Here is a 24,428-nt window from a genome sequence, read left to right on the forward strand (position 1 = left end):
AACTCAATTGTCCTTTAATGGGGGAATGGATAAATAAACTGTGATATAACGATACAATGGAATACTACTCAACAATAAAATGGAACATATTAGTGATACACACAACATGGGTAAATCTCAAAGACATTATGCTAAGGAGCAAGTCCAAAAATACTACACAGTGTATGGTTCCAATTATGTCACATTCTGGAAGAGGCAAAACTATAAGGGAGAGAGGAGAAGATCAATATACCAGGGATTAGAAAAGAAGAGGATGTGATTACAAAGGAATTTAAAAGGGAGTTTTCTGGAGTGATACAACCATTGCGTATTCTGATTGTGGTGGTGGTTATACAAATCTACACATGTGTTACAACTCATAGCACTGTAGGCTAAAAAATGTTAAGTTTATTACATACTGATGTAAGCATTTTTTAAATAATAAAACATATCAAGTACATTCATTTAACAAAAGAAAAATTGTAAGAGAGTATTGATTTCCATTTGCAGATAAGGAAACTGACTTCCCCAAGGTTATTCAACCAATAAATAGGTTCTGAACTAGAATCCACTTCTAGAATATTATTTTTTTCCTGTTGTTATATAAGAAACAAACCTTCAAACACCTAAGCCAAATTGTGTATTAGTTAGCATGCATTTGATTGCAAGTAATGAAAACCCCAATCCAGAGGGATTGTTCTTCTATGAGGACATTTGCTATTTCACATAATGAAGTGGCAAGTGGTAGGGAGACTCATGAGGCTGGTTGATTTTGCAACTCAGTGATGTCCTAAATGACTAAGATTCCTTCCTTCTTCCACTCAGCCAACCACAGCTTCCTTATAAGGCTACTTCCTCTCATTGTCACAGGGTGGCTACTGGTCTCAGACAAAGATACAAGCTTCTTTGTCCATATCCAGTGGAAAATAGCTCACCAGCAACAGTCCCACAGAACTCGGAAGACTTAACTAGTGTGTACTGCATGCAAATGCTGCGGCTTCTTAGGATCTTAAAGATTCTAGGCAACCAGCTATAAAAATTATTTATGTAACTAGTAACACTCTGAAACAAATCAGAGCTTCGCACTGCAGTAATCGCCATCTGTCTTGTTTGTATGGATCTCAAATTTGCAGTATTTTTTTGATAATAGCTATCTATGCCCGGGCTCTTAGACACTATACCTCATGTTTGATTAGCATGTTAAAATTTCCACAGCACCATAATAACTCATTTTATTTAGTTGGACAGGTGAGGACTCTGAGGGTACCGAATGACTTAGCCAAATTCACCAGGAGTGAGTGACTGAGCCAGAGGTCACATTTGATCTTCAAACATCATTCTCATCATTCTTTCCTTTATATCACATTGATTCCCTCTTCAATGCTTGGATTTCACTAGGGAAGCACACTGGCAATTTCAAAGAAATATTTCAAGTTTATACAGATACTTAAAAGCTCAAAATGTCAGAGAACTAACATTCTTTATATCCCCAATAGCAACATTTGGCTATTTGGAATTTTATTCTCAGTAATAGGATAAATGTGAAATCCTAGCATCTCATTAACTTCTTCGTCTCCCTTCTTTCAACATCCAATCAATTTTCATGATAGGCGAATTCTAATTTCTAAATCGCTCTTGCATCCATCTCCTGTTTTCTATTTCCACAGCCCTAATATGTATTCAGGCCTCATATTTGTCACACAATAACCTCTTTGTCTCTTTGCCTCTATTTTCTTCACATTGTACTTCTCACACAATGGCCCCAGGTTAATGGTTTCAAAACCCAATGCAAATAATGACATATGTCTTCTTGTCTGCCCCAGCTCCAAAACTTTAATAATCTTCCTTTGACTACCGATTAAATTCTCAACTCTATAATCTGGCTTTCAAGGCCCTCAGCAATCTGGCTTCAATATTTCTTTCCAAACCTTGAGAAAATCCTCCTTTCTGGGTGGGAGTAGTAGACAGTGGTATACTGGAGCCAGCTCACAGTAGCTTGCAGGAACTTTTTTTTTCTTTTTTTTTTTTTGAGATGGAGTCTTGCTCAGTCGCTCAGGATGGAGTGCAGTGGCGCAATCTCGGCTCACTGCAAGCTCCGCCTCCTGGGTTCACGCCATTCTCCTGCCTCAGCCTCCCAAGTAGCTGGGACTACAGGCACCCGCCACCACACCCAGCTAATTTTTTTGTATTTTTAGTAGAGATGGGGTTTCACCATGTTAGCCAGGATGGTCTCGATCTCCTAAGAACTATTTTTATACCTCTCTTCATCTCTGTGTTCAGTGATGTCACATTAGTAGCTTGAAATTGGCTGTGATGGGAATATTTACACCTTACAAGTCAGACTGCTACAATTCAGAGCTTTTGTTTTGAAGAGCTAGTTATTAAACATTTACCAGCATACCACTATTTACAGAATAACTGGGACTAAACTTGAGAGTGAGGGTGCAATATGGTATTGGGGACCAAGTTGTTGACACAGAAAGCTCAGGTACCAACTCAAAGATAGGAGGGCCAGGGGGAAAAGAAGAAGAAGCTGTGTTGCAAAACTGTTGAGAAGGTAGATCTGGGCAAAAGTTGAGTTTCCATAGAAGCAGACATCGAGAAAGGGGTTTGGGTTCAAGTAGTTGATTTGGGAGGTAGTCCCAGGAAGCACTGGCAGGGTAGTGAGGGAAATGAGACAGGGAAGGGAAGGTGGCTAATACAGGGTAGATTGATGAGCAGGTTATTACTGTGGGCAATTGAGGTTCAATTCCACTGGGGACCTTTTGGGGAGCATGTAGAATGTGCTTCATAGTTGCCACTGCTATGGTTTGAATGTCAACTGAAAAGCTTATGTTGAAATTTAAGTGGCATTGTGATGGTAGTAAGAGGTGGGACTGTTAAGAGATGTTTAGAACATGAAGGCTCTGTCCTCATGAATAGATTAATGTGGTTATCACAGGAGTGGGTTTGTTATCAAGAGAATAGGTTGTTATAAAAGCAAGTTCAATCCTCTCTGTCTCTCACTCTCACCCTCTCTTGCCCTTTACCTTCTGCCATGGAATGGCAATGCACAAAGGTCCTCTGCAGATGCCGGAACCATTCTGTTGGACTTCCCAGCTCCAGAACTGTAAGCCAAATCAACTTTTCTTTATAAATTACCCAGTCTGTGGTATTCTGTTACAGCAACACAAAATGGACAAAGCCACCCACACAAAGAGTGAGGAATATGAGAAGTTTATCCTCAAGAAGACAGCAGTGGGTATTTGCATTAAGAAGTGGCAGGTATGTAGGGGAAGACCGAATGCCAAGGGGATATAAACAAGACACAGATACTCGTAGTTTTTTGTTTTCATAGCGTGCTTGGTGGTGGTGGGGCTTCATTTCAATGGCCAATGATGGAATGTATTTTTCCAGTTATATATCATTTGTTTTTACCCTACACACTCTATTTGTTCCTTCCTTTAGGTCTACTCACAGGTTCCTTTTTTTGCTACAATATCCTTTGTAGCTCCCTCCAGTTTTGACTATTTTCTGATTCTTGCAATTCATCAAAAATCAGTGCCACCTTTTTCAGGAACCCCATCTAATCCCCACCCCCTGATGATAGAAGTTAGGAGAGGGTCACGTCAAGCTGGAGGTCTCCTGTGGCTTGAAGCAAGGGAGCAGGTAACAAGCCCCTCCACCTGGTTAAGATGTTTGGGGTCAGAGAGCAGAGACAGAAATTGTATTCTGGAGTCATTCCAAATGGTGAATATTGGAAGGAACTCATCATTCCTGTTTTATCACTCTGTCTCTCAGAACCCACACAGCACAGAGGATTGGCTTATGATGGCTGCACAATTGTTGATGGTGGCAGAGAAAAATGGATGAATGAAAGGCTAGGTGAACAAAGAGAACTAGATAGGTAGTGAAACAAGAAAGTTAAAATTGAATTAGAGGAATCATGGGGTCAACAAGAGCCCCTGGATGAATTCTGAGGATGAACATCAAAGCCTGTAAAGTAAAACAGACTCCACATGTGACATAATCAGCAGAAGCTGGGTAGTTGAAATCTACCCCTCAACAAGTTCATTGAGATGCCCTGCCTTTTGAGATTCAGTGAAATTGCTTTTAACTTCATCCCACTTGTGATGCAGCTCCCCTTTTCCAATCCCTCTGGGAGTTATTGGTATCTTAACTTTTTTTTAGTTCCCTCTGGCTTTGAGCTCCTGCATCTGTAGCATTAGGAGGGTTTGTGAGTTGCTTTGGCATCTCAGAAATGCTGCCTGTACTCTCTAGCATGGAACTGCAGACACTTCTTGATTTCTCCCCAAGCATTACCAATATGAGTTGTGTGTATGGCTAGCACAGTTCAGTGAAGATATGGGGTCAAGCTATGGGCTTTATATTAGCCTGTGGTTTGGCCTCATCTCCCTCAGGCTCCATGCAAACGTTCAATTTCACTCCTGTATTATGTGGAGCGCTTTTGCTCTCTGAAACCTATTCAATAACTGGCCTTGTTTGCCTCTTCAAAGATGCTTTATTATGTTTTTTAAATTCACTCTCTCCCTTCTCACCTCTGTACCTTTGCAAGCAGTTGCTTCTGCCTGGAATATCCTTTCCAGAATGGAAGATTTGGTAGAGGTTGGGAAATGTCAGTCTTTCCCCTCACTTTATCTCACATCATTCTCTGTAAGTAGAAGGAAATGGTGACAATATTTATTTCTCTACTAGTATTAATTATGACATCACAAACATCTCGGCTCCTGAGGTGGCCATAGTTGGTCTTTAAATAACACTTTTTGGTATTCCACAAACTTCTGGAAAATATTTACTTGGGTTTGCTAAAGTCATATAAATTGACCAGAAGAGGCAGCCCTACCCCTGCCCCTCCTCTCCTTCCTCCTACCCTTCCTACCTTAGAGGGCTCCCGCTTCTTCGAAGCCAGACAACTTTGTCTGGACCTCTCCTATGGGCTTGTATTATGGATATTTGTTTATAAATCATACCACCTTTACTGAACTGTGAACTCTGCAAAGATGATGTCATCTTCCCTCTCTGAAACTTCAGTGCAGCTCGGTATCTGATACAGAATTGACTTTGAATCACCTGATTTCTAACTGAGGATAAATGAATAAATGTGAAGTTGCAGATGGCCCCTTAGTGATCTGAATAGGCTGCTAGGGGAAGAGCATATGGTATCCCCACTTCCCACTTGTACTGACTGTCAGGTGCTGTTAGAATCAATAGGCAACTATTTCTTTTCTTTTTCTTTCTTTCTTTCTTTTTTTTGAGACAGTGTCTCTCTCTGTCACCCAGGCTGGAGTACAGTGGTGCAATCTGGGCTCACTGCAACCTCTGTCTCCCGGGTTCAAGCGACTCTCATGCCTCAGCCTCCCAAATAGCTGGGATTACAGGTGTGCACCACCACGTCTAGCTAATTTTTGTATTTTTAGTGGAGACGGGGATTCACCATGTTGGCCAGGCTGGTCTCGAACTCCTGGGCTCAAGTGATCCGCCCGCCTCAGCCTCCCAAAGTGCTGGGATTACAGGCGTGAGCCACCGTGCCCGGCCAGCAATTATTTCTTTATTGAAGACTTATGTGCAAGGCACAAAGGGAGCTCCAGGACTGAGATATTTTTACTATACCTTCTCTATCATCTTGCACCCCCAAAATAGCTTCCAGGGCACTTCTTTCTATTTGTTTTTGTGGAAAGACTGGCAATTAGAGGTAGAAAAGTGAAATAAATGGAAATAGTACTACTCAGGACTGTCACATCTACATCTGTGTTTTTGCAGTGCCAATTTGCATTTTCTGAGTGAGTTACTTCTACTCACCTTCACAGCAGCCGGTACCGCAGTGCCTTGCATATATTATATCCTCAATGAGTACTTGTCAATTGATTTTGTACATGCGTGTGACAGTATAAATATATTATGAAAAATGAGGAGGCCAGGCAATAAAAGAGTCAGGATTTCTTCCAAAAAAAATACACAGCGGTGGAGCTTGGCATAAAGTTCAAATGCTCCTACACCCTGCCCTGCAGTATCTCTAACCAGGGGACTTTGATAAGGAAGCTGAAGGGTGATATTACCTTTGCTCCCTCACTGCAACTGAACACATTTCTTAGTTTTTAGGTGGCCCCCGCTGGCTAACTTGCTGTGGAGTTTTCAAGGGCATAGAATCGTCCTTTACACAATTAAAAGAAGATGCTGTTTAATCTGAGGATCCTGTTAAACAATGCAGCTTTTAGAAATGGTCACAACTTCATGGTTCGAAATTTTCGGTAAGTGATGGTCAGAGACTTGGGTTTGATTTAGGAATCATGGTGATGCATAAAACTATATTCTGCAGTAAGGCCTCTTTCTGCAGAATGTAGTGCCACGCTCTGCTTTACTCTTATTTGAGACAGCTGCCTCTAATTCCAGCAAAGCTTTCATTTCTCAGTCCTTCTGTAATCAGATTTCACCGTGTGCTGTAGGGGAAGCCACCCATGGCAGGTATAACAGACTAAACGTTCTTGACATCTTTCGTTTGTGTACATTCTAAACGAGCAAGTGGCTGAAGGAAATTAGGGGAAGTAATTTACACAGGGCCTTCAGCTTATATTTGGGCTTGCTATAAAACAATATATCACTCTAAGATGTTGAGACTAATCAGTTCTTTTGAAAAAACAGACTCCAAGTAGCAACTAATAAATACTGACAAAGCTGCTGCAAAGACGCCTTATATGTGATGGGGATAACGACATTTTTAAATAAAATACAAGTTTGAAAACCATCCCTGAAATTCTTGCTGGCATGTGCAAAGCAGGCTGTCTCCAATGAATTCATTATAAAAGTTTACATCCTGCTTACAACCATTGTGCATGTGGTTGAAGATGGCATGGAGTGTGTCTGTGGGGAAGGGAAAGGGGAAGGGGAAGGGAACAGGGGAGATGAGTTAGCTGGGTAAACAAGGCCATCAGGTGGAGACATCACTACCAGAAAGCTTCTAGAACAGTTTCATGTTAATAATGAGACAGAATTTCTTCAGAGCCTCTTTATAACCTAAAGCAACCTTCCCGACTTCCTTAAGGAAGAAGCTTTTGGTCTGAAGTTTTCTTTTATTATTAGTAAGTGGACCTGTGATAGTGGCCCTGGGCATCCCTTCTCTGGAGCAGCTGACAGTTCTAGGTTCTCTGGACTCCACCATTAGCACTACTTCTTTAGTGAATATAAGGCTCTCAGAAGTCAGAATGATACCGTAAATAATATTGTAAATTAAGCCCATAATATTAGACCTAGTTGAGACCTCAGAGCCATGAAATAATGCCTTCTCTTATTTTATTTTGGGAGGAAATGTGATTTTTATTTCTTAAACAGCTCAAATATTCAATTGAAATTGTTTCACTTCTCTTATTTCAAGTATAAGGTAAAAAAAGCCCAGAATGACTGTGGGGTTTACCAATTAGTGCCAGAGTTAGATCAGATAACAACCTGGAGAAAAGTTTAAAGAACTAGGTTCAAGGCCTAGCACCACCCTTGCTGGCTATATGACCTTGAACAAGTCACTAAACTTTTCTGCAATGTTGTTTCACCTATAAAATGGAAAAAAGGATAATACCTGTTCTGCCTACATTACAGGGTGGTTCAATCATTCCTTCAACAAATATTAATTGAACATCTACTTTGTGCCATGCCCTATCAAGGAGTTGGAGATACGGTGGTAAATAACGTAAAAATATACTTCACTCCAGCTACATGAATTCATAGTCTAGTGATAATCAGTGAGATAATGTATATGAAACCTAAAAAGTGACAGACCAATGTTCATTATTTATTTTAGTATTCCATTACACTGAGTTACATCAGATAAAAATGTGATGAAATTTTATTCTATAGCTTTTAACAAGGAATCATCACTGAGTTGAAAACACCCAACTGAATGAATAATCAAAGCCTGGAACTTAAACTTATACTGTTCTTTGAAAACTACAATGATAATTGATTTTTAAAATAATTATTACGGATTAAATTTTGCAAGTAAAACCTCCTCCAAACAGTTGAACTTTTTTTTTTTGTATTTACTAATACACTACTGTCTATATCCAGTAGCCAGACTACATTTCTGAAAATCCTGGTGAGCTATTTCTCACAGTGAATGGGGGCTGGCACAAAAGTATGGCTAAATCGGCCCAAATCCAAACTTTCTATTTGAAAGTGTGAAAGCCTCGAGTCACCCATGTTGTTAGAAACTCAATAGTGTGAATCTCTATTGAAAAATGAGATAATGTTGAAATGGTTTCGACATGCATTCTCACGTGGCATAGGTATTTTTCTTTCCTACTGTATTGGTTAGTTGCACTACCTGTCAGCTAGATAAATTCAGAATTTCTGGTCTCCAATAAGACTTACAACCTTTGACAAAGCCCTCAACAACAGAGAAAAACTCCCTGTCAACTCTGCCTGTTCTATATTTTTGCTTTGATTTTCAGCCTTTCACAGGGATTCGAGTTATTTTTTTCTCCCACATCTCTTGGGAAAGGTGGAGGGCCCTTGTTATGTAACATACCACGTGAGTTTACTACTCCAGAATAATAGGAAATATGTGGTTAGAATTTGATGGTGCCACAAAATAGGAATCGCAGTTTTGAAGTGAGCGGTCATATCGCCATGGACATGATAAAATAATAGCTTAAGTGAGGCTGAAGCCATCCACACAGCCCCTGGATCAATCACTTTTAGTCAGTTAAATTTTTTTTTAACAAGATCGATAGGATCAGAAACCAAGACTGCTGAAAACACCCAATTCACAGGCTTTCCATGTCATAAACAAGGCTCTAAAGCCTTGCTGTGTTTGGATAATAGAGAATATCCTATGATTTGTTGCCTATTAGGGAAACCACTTAAAGCTTTTTAAGAAACCACTAAAAAAAAAATCTCTTTCTTTATCAGAAAAGACCAATTTGTAAGTGCAGTTCAATTTCATCTCACAAATAGAAATTTCTTCAGAGAATATTGAGCTAAGCTACTCAATTCTGTGGAGGTTATGGATTGGAGCCAGAGGTGACTAGTTTTCAGGTGTTTCATTCCAGACCTCTGTAAGGGCTCACATAACTCATTATGCTCCCTTCGTCTCTCACACATGCCCATCCATACACACGTGGACATCCAGACAACGTGATTATAAGACGTTCATGTTCTTGCATAGAGGAGAGAAACCAGTGCACTTTGATTATTCACAATGTCGAAACTTAAAATGAATGCCTTTTAAAAACATCACTTCAGCTGGGTGCAGTGGCTCATGCTTGTAATCCCTGCACTTTGGGAGGCCGAGGTGGGTGGATCACCTGAGGTCAGGAGTTCCAGACCAGTTTGGCCAGCATGGCAAAACCCTGTCCCTGTTAAAAATACAAAAAAAGAAAAAGAATTAGCTGGGCCTGGTGGCATGCACCTGTAGTCCCAGCTACTCAGGAGGCTGAGGCAGAAGAATTGCTTGAACCTGGGAGGCGGAGGTTGCAGTGAGCCGAGATCGCGCCAATGCACTCCAGCCACCTGGGTGACAGAGCGAGACTCTGTCTCAAAAAAAAAAAAAAAAAAAAAAAAATCACTTCACTTCAGAAAACCATACAAGAGATGGGACCAAAAGTTGAATGGGGTCATGATGTTTTCCTTGGCCAACAGTGGAATTTGTTTCCTAGTTTATTTTTAGTAATTGAGTAACGTAACTTAGATAAAATAAGCCACTGATTTTTGAGTTTCAGGTTTCCAGATCTTTAATAGTAGGTCTGCAGAAAGCTAGCCTTCATCTGAATTCTTCAATTTTCAGATGAGAAGTTTCACAATTTTAGAATATTAATGATCTAAGGTATCTTAGAAACTACTAGTCACTCAGTGCTCAATAATAATGTTGTAGAAAAAACTGAGTTCTTTTCACATGACCAGGAAAGTTTAGGCTCACAGACACTTTGAAGGGTGAGGGGGAGCGGAATTTATTGAGTGAAAAGGAAAAAAACTCAGCAAAGCCAGAGGGGTTCCTGTTAACAGGCCCCCATCTCACAGACTGAATGCCAGGTTACCACACAGGAACAGGAGAGGCCTAGCTCCTCCCCACTCCAAAAGGTGCAGTGCGAACTTCCCCAAGGCCCCACCCTGTCCTCCCAGTGTGCAGGTGGGCATTATTCAGAAAGAATCAGTCAGGGGAGTGTGGGGAAAGGGCGGGCCTCATCCGGGACAGGCAGTCCTGTTCATCAGCCTACAGGCTGTTTTAGGCTTGAACGTGGGGTTTCGCTGGGGGTCGCGGGTTTGGGGGCCCTTGGCTGCCCCTTGTCTCTATCAATAATTTATATCACATATGGGTATGTGGCAACAGTGAGGAGGGTTTCAAGTAAACTTTTATTAATACATTATTATTGTTATTGTTAATAAGCATAAATTTGGAAAACATTTGTGAGTTTTTTTCACATCAGTGGGATCACTGCAAAGTTTTTTTTTGTGAAAATACAGCTCCTTTCTTTTGCATGCATTCTAATATGCCTTTTTGAGAAGGAAAGAAAGGGATAGAATTAAAGTTAGGCCACTGAAAATTCATGTGGCTCCAGTTTACAAACTTCATGAGTGTGGGGGAAGACATAGACAAAGAGAATCGCTAATTTCGTTCACTTTATTAAATTTTCAGGTGAAGAATTGAGGCTCGAGATGGCAAATAACCTTCCCAAGGCCATTGTTTATTCTTAAATCTGGGCTGAACTAGGACTACAATTCAAATATTTAAAGGCACTGCTCTTCTCATTTCATTGCTTGTATTACTTTGATCCCTTCCAATTGATCAAGCTGGCCAATCTACCTTTGCCTAATATCCTTTTTTAGGTACAGCCAGAATATCTCAGTAAAGAAAAAAAACATACACAAGAAAATATGCCTTAGCTCTTGCATTAATGCAAGGTTAAAGAAACATAAAAATCTCAGCCATAAGGCCCATTGGCCCCCTCTTATGTCTCCAGAAGTTAAAGTCTTTATCTCAAATTGTCCATGGGGATCAGAGTATCATTTAACACTGAATTTTTTCCTACTCTGGCAAAATCAGTTTCTGACTGACCACATTTTACTCAAATCAAGCACTTTCTCTTCCAATAAAATACAATTATACCAGGAATACATCCAAGTCTCTCCCACCCCCCAGTTTACCAGAGTTGGAAAATGCAGACACTAGCAATGAAAGGCTTCATTCTGCAAGTAGCAAATACTCTTCCATTTTGTAGCTAGGAAGATATTTGGGTAAAGTTAATACAAGGATCTCTTATTACCTTGGCTTAGCTTCTTAGCATTCAGTGATTTGGGGTTAAGAAATCTCTGTAATTATTTTTTCAAGGAATAAAATGAATATAAGGAACTAGACTTGCCTTTTTCAAGGGCTCTGGCTCTGACCAGACTGCAGTGACAGTTTTGATGGAGTATTTGTACGTGCTTCTCATTGTTTCCCACAACATTGTATCCTCCCTCTTATGTGCAGCCTGAATAATAATAATGTGGTTTGTGTCTGGTGTACCAAGGAGATTTCTTGTTTACTCTGATTTACTTCTTGTACACTTTGGTACAAGAAAAGCAAGCATTTTACAGGAGACTCGAATAATGCATTTGGCCCTGGTTCTGGTGCTTGTGAACCAGAGCAGGCTGCCTCCTATTGAAGAATGAGGTCTCTAGGGGGAACTTAATAGCCATTGATGCCAGCAGTCTTACCTGGCTAATTCAAGCGTGGCTTTATCACCCAAAAGCAAGAAAATGCTTGCTACAGACCAGAAAAAAAAAAAGGAGGCCTGTGTCAGAACTGTTTTAATGTGGTACAATTGTGGAACTCTTCTAATTTTTATGTAGCTTAGGAAAGAGGTGTGGCAACTCCATTTTGGAGCCAAGGGGAGGTCTGTGAGGAGACAGTAAACAGGATAGGAATTTAAACTGGGACCATTGTATTTGCTTTCCTTCCAGTGATAAATTTCCCTGGTTAGTTCTCGATATCTATGAAAAACAGCTCTTTTTCCCAAGCTAACATTTCCTGCCCCACCTCCTGGATGGAATTGAGAAAGGTGGTGACTACTCTAATGATTTTTCAGTGGTATAAACAGCATAACCCCCCCTCACTAGCTGTGGTGGAATTTTTTTTTTTTTTTTTTTGAGATGAAGTCTTGCTCTGTCACCCAGGCTGGAGTGCAACGGCGCGATCTCAGCTCACCACAACCTCTGCTTCCAGAGTTCAAGTGATTCTCCTGCCTCAGCCTCCCGAGTAGCTGGGATTACAGACGTCTGCCACCATGCCCAGCTAATTTTTGCATTTTTAGTAGAGATGAGGTTTCACCATGTTGGTCAGGCTGGTCTCAAACTCCTGACCTCAGGTGATCCAGCTGCCTCAGCCTCCCAAAATGCTGGGATTACAAGCATGAGCCACCGCACCCGGCCAGCTGTGGTGCAATTTTAAAAGAAATTCTAGTTAATCACTCAAGCCCTCAGATGCTGGTATGACCAGATATATAGCATCTACCTCTCTACCGCTTTTGTCCCCAAGAACCCTGACAACTTATTCTGTCCAAAAGGAGTTTGTGGCAAGAAAGAACCAAAGTATCAGTGTAGTCCACTATTACTGTACTTCCATTTCAGCCTTCATGGTGGTATGAGCAAACATTGGCCCTATAAGGTATACTTGCCAGTTTTCCAGGTTTTGGCCCTTGACTCATAGTGCTGTGCTTAGGATCCAAGATTAGTCCACTCTTGTTTCACATACATATGTCCAGTCATTGTTCCCAGTAGTGCAAATACTATACCAGAGTGGTGGGGTTCTAGGGGATTTCAGCTTTAGCAACACACTAGGCCACAGTCAATTATCCTCCATGATTTTCAGGCCTTGTGTTCAGCCTGGGCCATACCCTATATTTGCTCTTCCCTCAACATAAATTTTGTCTTTTTTTTTTTTTTCTGAGATGGAGTTTCCCTCTTGTTGCCCAGGCTGGAGTGCAATGGCACCATCTTGGCTCACTGCAACCTCTGCCTCCCAGGTTCAAGTGATTCTCCTGCCTCAGCCTCCCGAATAGCTGGGATTACAGGCCCTCACCACCATGCCCAGCTAATTTTTTGTATTTTTAGTAGAGACGGGGTTTCATCATATTGGTCAGGCTGGTCTCGAACTCCTGACGTCAGGTGATCTGCCCGCCTCAGCCTCCCAAAGTGCTGGGATTACAGGCATGAGCCACCGCACCCGGCTGAAGTGATGTTTTTTAAAAGGCATTCATTTTAAGTTTTGACATTGTGAATAATCAAAGTGCACTGTTTTCTCTCCTCCGTGCCTGGCCTATGTCTTTTCTTATCATCAGAACTTGGTCAGGATGTTGAAAATCCATCATGACAAATCTTTCAATATTCATCCCAGAAATCTGCTGGGAATTAATTCTTTCTTTCTTTTTTTTTTTTTTGTTTTTGAGGCAGAGTTTCGCTCTTGTCACCCAGGCTAGAGTGCAATGGTGCGATCTCAGCTTACTGCAACCTCTGCCTCCCGGGTTTCAGCGATTCTCCTGCCCCAGCCTCCCAAGGAGTAGCTGGGATTACAGGTGCCTGCCACCACGCCCGGCTAATTTTTATATTTTTAGTAGAGACGGGGTTTCACCATGTTGGCCAGGCTGGTCTAGAACTCCTGACCTCAAGTGATCCGCCCGCCTCGTCCTCCCAAAGTGCTGGGATTACAGGTGTGAGCCACTATGCCGTGCCTGAATTCTTTCTTATACAAATTGATTTACTTTTGCCCTAATGACCTACTATCATTTATTCATTTACTTAAGAAATATTTATTGAATGACTACTACATTCCAAGCACTGTACTAAGCACCGGGTATATATTAGTGAATAAAATAGGAAAGGTCCCTGCTATTTGTGGATCATATGTAATCCAGTGAGAAGAGTAAAAGTAGCAATAAATAAACACATAAATATATATTAAAATTGTGATAATTATTACAAACAAAATGAAGGTAAAGTGAAGACTACTTAGACAGTAGAGTCAGGAAAGGAATCTCTTAGGAAGTGATATTTAAGCTTACAGCCTGAGAATGAGAAGGAGCCAGCTTTGAGAGTTGAGGGGAGAGTGTTCTGGACAAAGGGAATGGTATATCCGAGTCCTGTGATGGGAAAGCTTTTGGAGTACAGGCAGCCCCTCCTTTGCGATATCCCAATGTGCACAAATTTCAATTACCACAGTTTAGTTAATAACACTAGGCCACTACGAACACAGTTCAAATTTCAGTCAACATGGCATATTAATTATGAGTAATTCATAAAGCAAAACTTCATTGCTAACTCTTCAGTCTACAAATCACCATGTAAATAACACATACACAGTACCTCATGGTCAGTGACCAATTACATCACTTCTTTCAAAGTCTGTTGGTGATTGGTCACTGTGCATCTGTCATTCAGTTTGCATACAGACAGCAAAGAGTATATAGCTGTGCTGCCTCCTTTTCTCCCAGTGATAAACCCATGGGCATTTTACAAAAATGGATAATGACAGTGCAGTACATGAAAGTGCAGCAGAGAAATAAAAAGTGCCTTTGGGAGGCTGAGGCGGGTGGATCACCTGAGGTCAGGAGTTCAAGACCAGCCTGGTCAACATGGTGAAACTCCATTTCTACTAAAAAACACAAAAATTAGCCAGGCGTGGTGGCAGACGCTTGTAATCCCAGCTACTCAGGAGGCTTAGGCAGGAGAATCGCTTGAACCTGGGAGACAGATGTTGCAGTGAGCTGAGATTGCGCCGCTGCGCTCCAGCCTGGGCGACAGAGCGAGACTCCGTTAAAAAAAAAAAATACTGATAGCAGTGGAAGTTAAATTTGGATTGAATGTAAATCGAGTTATGGAAGAAACAGCTGACTATGTGATTGTTACCCTGCTGCTGTTTGAGAGGCTGTAGATATACAGCCAGAGGAACTTAGTGAAGACAAAGTTATTGACATAACTGCAGAAAGTGGTTGTGACAAAAAGGATGAAGATGTCCCAGGGGAAGTAACACCAGCAAAACACTTCACATTAAAGGAACTCTCACAGATATTACACAGCGTTCAAAGTGCAAAGGAAAATGTTGAAAGTTTATCCAAACTTAGAAAGAATTATGACAGTTTACCAAAACATAGAAAAGATGCTTGCTCTATATCATAGGTTCTAAGATGAGAAAGCAAGCACTGTTCAAATTACTCTTGATAGAGTTTTTACAAGGAAATAAAGCACTATAATTCTCAATGCTTCTAATGTTTTAAATTACATTGTACTAAAAAATACATCAGTTTTACTATTTTTCACTTCCCTACACATTTACAACTGACAATAAAAGTTTTTAATGTTCTGACAATTTTTTAAAAGTCACAGAACGATTACAATTTTCCCACTAAATATTAAGGTTACTTTACATGGCTTCAGATTTAATGGCTATTCACAGTCCCACACACTACCATGCAAATTAAAAACTGCCTGTGTTTAAAAAAAAAACAGTTTTGGAGGACATTATGCTAAGTGACATAAGCCATGAAGGACAAATACTATATGATTTCACTTATATAAGAATCAAAAATAGCCAAACTCATAGATTCTAATTTAAAACATCAGACAATACTGGTTGTCAGAAGTTGGGAGTGGGGGAAAAGGGGAGTTTTTCTATGGATCTAAACTTTCGATTATTCTAGATGAATAAATTCTAGAGATCTGCTGTGCAACATAGTGCCTATAGTTAACAATATGGTGTCGTGCAGTTCAAAATTTGTTAGGAGACTAGATCTCATGTTAAGTGATCTTACTGCAAAACCAAACAGCAAACAAAAACACAAAGGGGCACAAGGAAACTCTGGGGTGGGGGAAGGTTATCTGCTAACATTTATTGGAGATGTGATTCAAGGGCAGCAAGAGTGAGGGCAGCATTATCAGCTGCTGCCATGGAAAGTCTAGAGTCAGAAAGGGAGATTTTTCCAATCACTTGTAGTCCAAGGGAAAAATATTGAAATAAAGTTTCTGTTCTATATACATTTGAAAATCAAAGGCCTTGACAAAAAGGAAAGCTTCAAGCAGGATGTTTGTGTGTTCTTTCTACCTTTATATTCAAATCTTCTGTCAGTGGAGAAATAGAAACAGCAGCATCTCACAATGCAAACCCACAGCAGAACATTAACCCTAACCCTAACTACAAGCTTAATTTCACTTCCAACTTAGAAACTTCTAAGTATGTAGGACAAAAGCTGAGGAAGCCCCAGAAACTTGTTACTTTCTCCAGTCTGTCTTCTATTGGGGATAATAAGAACTGGAAGCTGGAGCTTTTGGAGTAGTAAAAGGTAAGGTATTGTTGGTCCTCCTCTTTCCTGTTTCCTTTTATGGAAATTGGGGAGAAAAAATTTAGTCCTTTGCAAAATTTTCATTTCCACTTCTATTTCTCTGAGATTCAACAAGAACAACACAATTCTAAGATCTATGACATTCTCTTAAATAAAGCCTGTAGCCTTGTGAGCATTCAGAAGTAAGAGGATACAACAAAATCCCGCAGAGGCTGAGAATAGGGGATGATATTGAATCCTTTAAGTATAGCAGTTTGGAGACTCAGCTTTTGTGGGCTCCAAAATAACCAGGAGTCTGAGCTTGAACTCAAGACAAAAAATTGAGGGCCTCAAAATTAGTTCATGAGTGGTTTTTCCTGTGGTTGATGGATGTGAGTTCAACAGCTATAGTGATGTTTCTCAAATTCCTTGAAACAGAGGGAGTGGGGTTTTCCAGCAAAGTATTCTTCCCCTTTTAAAATAATATTAGAGGAAGTCTTAAGCCAAGGAATATCAATGTGTTATTGTAAGACATGTAGTCAAGAAGGTTTATCTTCTGTAATTTTATGTTGCTTGGATCTTATTCCAGAAGAAAAATATTTTCAAATCTGCCCCAACTGTGAATTGAGAAAGATTAAGCTGCCGTGCCTTCATTTCAGGCCACATATGCAAATCTGTTTTATAATCCCCAGAAGAAGATTTCAGTTGACCCTGAAAAATGCATGACTGTTAGTCAGTGCTTACTCCTTAACATTATCAGTACTTAGTATTCCAAGTGTTGCTTAATATTATCACTAATTAATATTATCAGAAGAAAACACATAACCAAAATTTGTACGTAAATACAAATTTTCTGTCTAAATGCCTTGCTTCCAAAGTTATCAAATTGCTGACTATGATGGAGATATTGGGCACAGTTGTGTAAGCATTTTACTAGGATTTCAGTAGAAGGAAGAAAATGAAGGGCTGTCTAGAAACTGCTTTAGCCAGCAAAATGTCTTTGTATATCTACAAACTTATTTTTAAAATATTTGGTTCTTTGCCGGGCGTGGTGGCTCACGTGCTGTAATTCCAGCAGGTTGGGAGGCTGAGGTGGTTGGATCACCTCAGGTCAGGAGTTCAAGACCAGCCTGGCCAACATGGTGAAACCCTGTCTCTACCAAAAATACAAAAATTAGCTGGGCGTGGTGGCACATGCCTGTAGTCCCAGCTACTCGGGAGGCTGAGGCAGGAAAATGTCCTGAAACTGGGAGGCAGAGGTTGCAGTGAGCCGAGATCACACCACTGCACTCCAGCCTGGGTGACAGAGTGAAACTCCATCTGAAAAAATAAATAAATAAATAAATATAATAAAATATTTGGTTCTTCTTAGTCTAAACCTTTTAAATTTTTATTTTCGTGTATGTTTTGTTATGTACATAATCTATTAGTATAGCAGCACATATAAACAAATAAAACATACATTATGAATCCATGTTTAAAAGTTTTTACTGTTAGAGGTACGTAATAAAAAGTTGAGGACCACTGCTTTAAAGAAATTTCCATTTGGAGAGCCCATGACTCACATATTTTTAAAAGTCAAAGACAATAATACATCTTTGAAATAGCAATGTTAACTAAAATTTTGTTTCTACATATAAGCTGAAAACAGTAATTTCTATTTGTAGTTGAATATGTCATCAATGTCTTAGATTAAATCAGTCAATTGGCTGGGTGCAGTGGCTCACACCTGTAATCCCAGCACTTTGGGAGGTTGAGGTGGGCAGATCACTTGTGCTCAGGAGTTCGAGATCAGCATGGCCAACATGATGAAACCCCGTCTCTACTAAAAATACAAAAATTAGCCAGGTGTGGTGGCAGGTGCCTGTAATCCCAGCTACTCAGGAGGCTGAGGCACAAGAATTGCTTCAACCCAGGAGGTGGAGGCTGCAATGAGCCGAGATCACGTCACTGTACTCCAGCCTGGGCAACAGAGCAAGACTCCATCTCAAAAAAAAAAAAATCAGTCAATCAACCAATTAGCCAACCAACTGACAAACTCTTAATCCTTATGGAAATTCTCTTCCCTACTAACTAGACCTCTGAAGGGCTCAGTCTCACAAAATGTCTACCAAAAAATATCTATTCACCCACTGAACATTAAATGAACCAATCAACTCTGCAAGAAACATATGTAGTGCAATATTCACTTGTCTAAGTTACTGACATCATGCAGTGGAAACAACAAATTGAGTGAATTTGTGCTTTTCCCACCTATAAGCTTATCACCATTGCAAAAAGACCTCCATAAATCCCAACAGATGATTAACTCTTCATCCCAAGTAGCACAGGCTCTCTTGTTAGGTTAGAATTAAAGCATGATCATTTTGTGACAGTTATTTTACTTCTAGTAAAATTAATGTTTAGTACACGTGGTGAACCACAATTTGCCTTTGGCTGTTTATAATTTCGAATGGTAGAAAATACCAATTATTGTTAAACACAGATAACACTAGGAATGATGAGAGAAAGATGATGTCCATTTTATAGAATGATTACCGCAAATAACAATTATTGTCATCACAATATAACAAAATGTTAAAATTGATCTTTTTCGGTTTTGGTTTCTGTCCAGGCCCAGTAGGTACTGATTCTTCCCTCATTCTAAAGAGATGCTAGACCACTAAAAATGGAATTGCAAAGGAAATAGACAAAATTCAGTTTGGAATCCCTTAGTTACCACCTTCAGCTTATAAAATGTGTTGCAGAAACCAAGAGAGGGGTTGGAAATTAGAAGATAATTTATAGAGAGTGTTTCTATTGTGTATCATGTGCCTCCTCCCCCATGAAGGGGATACTCTTCCTTCACTTCAAGCCCAACAAAATGGCTCCACTAGGGCCCACAGTAAACTGATGTCAGGATGATACCTGAGAAATTTAAAGTAGGAAAGACAGGCTAGTTAGCTGTTCTGATAGCAGAACAAGATGGAGTCTATACCAGGATGGACCTGACACTTGTTAGAGCAAAGAACATGGAGAACTTCCCATGAAGCAATAGGGAATGAGATAAAAAAGACCTAGCATGGTATTGTTTCAGATCATGACCAAGAGACCTCCTGGAGGGGTGGGGGAAATCTCAGCAAAATAGAGGCTGGATGTGTTCCCTTGGATGCCAGAGGAAATGTAATTGTCTGTATCAAAGACTGCTATGAGAAATTCCTAATGATAAGCGGGGGTTCTCCAAAGGACCTCCAAAAACACATCACAAGAGAGTCAGGTGTTGGAGACACGTGCACCAATGCTAGATTGCTAGAGCAGAACCAGGCTTTTGCTGGCTCTTAACTCCTCACCTTCCCTTGGCTTCACTTAGAGGAACTGAAAGTAAGGAAACGAGGAAATAGCACATTGGCCCCTCTTTCCCCATAGAGGAGGCCAGCTTTAATCAGGCATAAGCTGGAAGGGAAAAGGTGTTAACCTGCAGCAAATTTCTTAAGGTTTTTTTAAAATCACTATTATTATTATTATATTTTTGTTACATGTTATTTTACTGAGACTCTTTGAGGTAGTAAAATAAGCAGAGGGCTTTTTGTATTTTTCTGAGTTAGTAGAAAAGTTACAGCGTCCATTGTATTTTCATCCAGGGATAAAAAGAACAAGCTCCAAGAACAGATTTGAAGGGCAGTAGGGGGAAAATACGAAATTATTTTCTATTGTGCATTACAAATGCTGCTTGTACAGCCCAATGATTTTAATAATAATAGCTAAAAGTTATCAAATACTTATTATATTCCAGACAATGTCTGCTTTACATGTATTAAATAATTTTATGCTCACAACAACTCTATAAGATTATTATAGTAATTTTCTAGGTGTGAAATTTAGAAGCAGAGAGTGGGTAAATAAACTGCCCTAGGTTGTGTGACTAGTAAGTGACAAAGCCACTCATGTGGCTATTTCAAGCAAATAAAAATTCAATCTCTTTTCACAAATTCTTTTTTTTTCTGTCAAACATCCAAAATACTGGACATACAAAATATAAACCAAGGCCATATCAAATTTCAACGCATTAACACTTTGCAGAGACACATGAGGTTATATGTGATTTGCTGTGCTTTATCAAGAATAAGAAGATAAAGCATTTGCTGTGCTTTATCAAGAGGCCGAGGCAGGCGGATCACTTGAGCTCAGGAGTTCGAGACCAGCCTGGTCACCATGGAGAAACCCCGTCTCTAGTAAAAATACAAAAATTAGCCAGGCTTGGTGGCATGTGCTTGTAGTTTCAGCTACTTGGGTGGCTGAAGCAGGAGAATCGCTTGAACCTGGGAGGCAGAGGCTGCAGTGAACTGAGATTGTGCCACACTCCAGCCTGGGCCACAGAGTGAGAACCTGTCTCAAAAAAAAAAAAAAGAAAAGAAAAGAATGCCTTATCAACAGTAAAACAATGAATCACCATAGTACATGGGTCTTTTCTGAAATACATATTTCTCCCTTTTAAATCTCTTTTTACAGGTGTGGACAACCACTACAAAATAAAGTGCAGCTGAAGGGCCGTGACCTTCTCACTCTAAAAAACTTTACCGGAGAAGAAATTAAATATATGCTATGGCTATCAGCAGATCTGAAATTTAGGATAAAACAGAAAGGAGAGGTATGTAACATTTTCTTTTTACGTTCCATTACTACCAGTCCCCTTTTTTTAAAGGCAGCCTTCCCAAAGAAAGAGGGAAAAAAATACATTAAAATTCTTAAACAGTAGCTAAGTAATGAAACCTCACAGTCAAGGTAATTGATTATCATGGAGCATACAGGCATACAAAAAAGCATAAAAATCAGTTATTGAATGACAAGTCATTGCACTTTTTTCACGTGGAATGCTGAAATTCATTATTAACTGGATCGAACCTAAGAAATCATTTGTCTGAAAAGCATTTATTTATTTATTTATTTATTTATTGAGATGGAGTCTTGCTCTGTTGCCCAGGCTGGAGTGCATTGGCGTGATCTTGGCTCACTGCAACTTCTGCCTCCCAGGTTCAAGGAATTCTCCCGCCTCAGCCTCCCAAGTAGCTGGGATTACAGGTGCATACCACCACACCTGGCTAATTTTTGTATTTTTAGTAGAGATGGAGTTTTACCATATTGGCCAGGCTGGTCTCAAACTCTTGACCTCAAGTGATCCGCCCACCTTGGCATCCCAAAGTGCTGGGATCACAGGAGTGAGCCACCGTGCCCGGCCAAGATTTTATTTTTATACCCCTTTTCTTTTCTCTGTGTATTTTCTATCAAGTCAAAAATGAAGGCCAGGCGCAGTGGCTCATGCCTGTAATCCCAGCACTTAGGGAGGCCAGGCAGGCAAATCACCTGAGGTCGGGAGTTCGAGACCAGCCCGACCAACATGAAGAAACCCCGTCTCTACTAAAAATAAAAAATTAGCCGGGCATGGTGGCACATGCCTGCAATTCCAGCTACTAGGGAGGCTGAGGCAGGAGAATTGCTTGAACCCAGGAGGCGGAGGTTGCAGTGAGCCAAGATCGTGCCATTGCTGTCCAGCCTGGGCAATAAGAGTGAAACTCCATCTGCAAAAAAAGAAGATGATCCTTTTTTTCCAAGTGACAAATTTTAATTTTGGATGCATATCAGATATAGAATCATTAGGATAATGTCAAAAAATTCACAATGATGTGACAGCGTTTTAAAAAGCATTTAGATTAGCAAAGAAACAATTAATGGTATCCAGGTAGGAGAAGAGATGGGATATGGTTCTTAGCTATAAGCATAATTCTGCATTTTGAGCAATTTATCTTCGAAAGACAATTAATACAGTAGCTTCATTTGGACTGCTTAATTGTGAAAGCATTTTTGTATTCCAAGCTTGTTCAGCCTTTTTAAAGAGTTGGTTTCAGGTTGAGAAAGTTTGACACGGTTTTGATTTTATCTAGTAGGCTGGCTCTCCAAGCTCCTAAGAAAAACTGAGGACAGGAGTGACCGCAACTGCTATGGGTTGATGTTCCTATAAAACACCTGAAATAAGAGAAAAGGTCTCCCCAGGCCCAGGCCTATGTTCTTGACACTTTGTGGATGAGGGAGGTTAGCTGGCAGGAATCTATTTGTTCCAGAATTCCTTCTATCAGGAAGCCCATCTACAGAAGAGGAAGGAGGAAGCGCCCCACCCCACATTCAGACTCTCCAGATTGTTTTCAAATGACTTCCAGAAGCAAAGTCTTTGTATTCCCATGAGGATGCATGATGAATGTGTAGCTAAAACACTAGGGCTTCATCATTGATCTAAGTGAAAGTTGTAGTGCCCCATGTTGTAACAGAGTAGCATTTTCCCAGCTGAGAAAACACCTCCAAACCAAACACCTTCGAGGTCATTGAAAACTGAATGGGGATTTCAATAGAGTTAAGTAAGAAGGTGGTTCCAGTATGAAATACTAATATATTTTGGAAAAAATTCACATGTTGAACCCAGAACAATTAATACTGCTTTCTAATTACATGTCAATAAGCTGTGGGAGTTACTGTTCTCTTCCCCCATTTGTATAGTACATAAAAAAACATTTTAAATTCACTTTTTTTTTTTTGAGATGGAATATTGCTCTGTTGCCCAGGCTGGAGTGCAGTGGCAAGATCTTGGCTCACTGCAACCTCCATCTCCCAGGTTCAAGCAATTCTCCTGCCTCAGCCTCTCTAGTAGCTGGGATTATAGGCACCCACCACCACTCCAGGCTAATTTTTTTTTTTTTTTTTGGTATTTTGAGTAGAGATGGGGTTTTGCCATGTTGGCCAGGCTGGTCTCGAACTCCTGACCTCAGGTGATCCACCTGCCTTGGCCTCCCAAAGTGCTGGGATTAAGGCATGAACCACCACACCTGGCCTAAATTCACTTTTTAAACAATATTTTAAACACTTATTTGGGGGTAGTTATTACTTATTTTCTAATAAAGAATATGTTTTAAAACATAATTTATATATAAGATATATTTTAATTCTATTCTTGTCCTTGATTTATAGTATTTGCCTTTATTGCAAGGGAAGTCCTTAGGCATGATTTTTGAGAAAAGAAGTACTCGAACAAGATTGTCTACAGAAACAGGTAAGTCCACTGCCAAATTCACACTTGTGTTGAAGAGAGGGATTGAAGGTGAAGACTTTGGAGGGGTAACCCAGTGCGGGGATTTGTCTGCCTCTAGCAACCACAAAGAAAAAATCATTTTTACTGGGAGCAGCAATGCAAGCCTGTGAATGAGATTTCCAGTTCTCATAAAAGCTGCAAGCAGAAAAATTAGCTTCATCTATAAGAATTCCATAAGGAACTGAGTAGAAGTTCCATATAACTCTTCATGTTCAGAAAAGAAATATAGGTGGGCACACATTTTCAGGCCTTGAACTCACGTGGGTAAGAAATATGTCTATTTTTCTAGCATGCAAAGAACATTTCCTTGTGTGTCTCAATTCTGCTAGATGGTGGAAATTTAATCTTTGCGATGTTAGGCAATCCTCAGTTGTTTTATGGTTTATTTTGTCCATTTTGGGTCTCCTCTCCATTTCCCCACAGTCAGGTTAAATCATGGAGAGTATCTGAATGTCAAGACATGTAGGGGTATGGGGATCTGGTCCTTGGTCATTAGAACATCATCATCAAATATCCATGCTAGGTTCTGTTGGGACTTCTATATTCCCATTGGATCTTGGCTGTCTCCCACTTACTGCAAGGTTTGCTTCACTCTCATTGAAAGAACTCATATTGAGACAACCAAGTATAAAGGGGTCACTGGAGAACCTCCAACCGGCCTGAACATTGGGAGGAATGCACACGGGGCTGAAGCCTCAGGAAGTTCACACCATTTGCGCGGGGAAGAGCTGGCCTCTCCTGTTCCGAGGTGGAAACTGGGATTCAATCTGAGAGGCGGGAAGACAACTAGCAGGACTCTTGCTCTGCTGAGAGTCCCTGTTTTCCTTTTTTTTCTTTTCACCCGATAAACCCTGCTCTTCTCACCCTTCAAAGTGTCTGTGAGCCTAATATTTCACGGTTTTGTGACAAGGACCCCATTACAACAATATATCTCTTGGTTTCATTCTCTCAACCTCTTAGCAGCTCTCCAAGACACATTAGGCACAGAGGTACTACAAGGCTGCCTCTACTCTATTGTTCCTTCCTCATGCTGGGTGCCATGGAGCTCTATAACATTT

General features: G+C 40.3%; 1 protein-coding gene across 3 annotated transcripts in view; it reads left to right on the top strand.

The window, feature by feature from the left end:
• OTC (ornithine transcarbamylase) overlaps positions 1–24,428 on the top strand; it is a 95,245-nt gene that overhangs the window by 18,863 nt on the left and 51,954 nt on the right. For 2 of the 3 annotated variants that reach the window (NM_000531.6, XM_017029556.2), the window contains exons 1-3: positions 6,058–6,227; positions 20,745–20,883; positions 23,250–23,331. In NM_000531.6, coding sequence (NP_000522.3) covers positions 6,151–6,227; positions 20,745–20,883; positions 23,250–23,331 — 298 coding nt within the window. In that variant the 5' untranslated portion in view covers positions 6,058–6,150. Of the gene's footprint in view, positions 1–3,144; positions 3,244–6,057; positions 6,228–20,744; positions 20,884–23,249; positions 23,332–24,428 lie in introns of those variants that run through there. The other variant, NM_001407092.1, reaches the window with a different exon arrangement.

Source organism: Homo sapiens, chromosome X (genome assembly GCF_000001405.40).
Source record: "Homo sapiens chromosome X, GRCh38.p14 Primary Assembly".
In the NCBI taxonomy this organism is placed as follows: domain Eukaryota; kingdom Metazoa; phylum Chordata; class Mammalia; order Primates; family Hominidae; genus Homo; species Homo sapiens.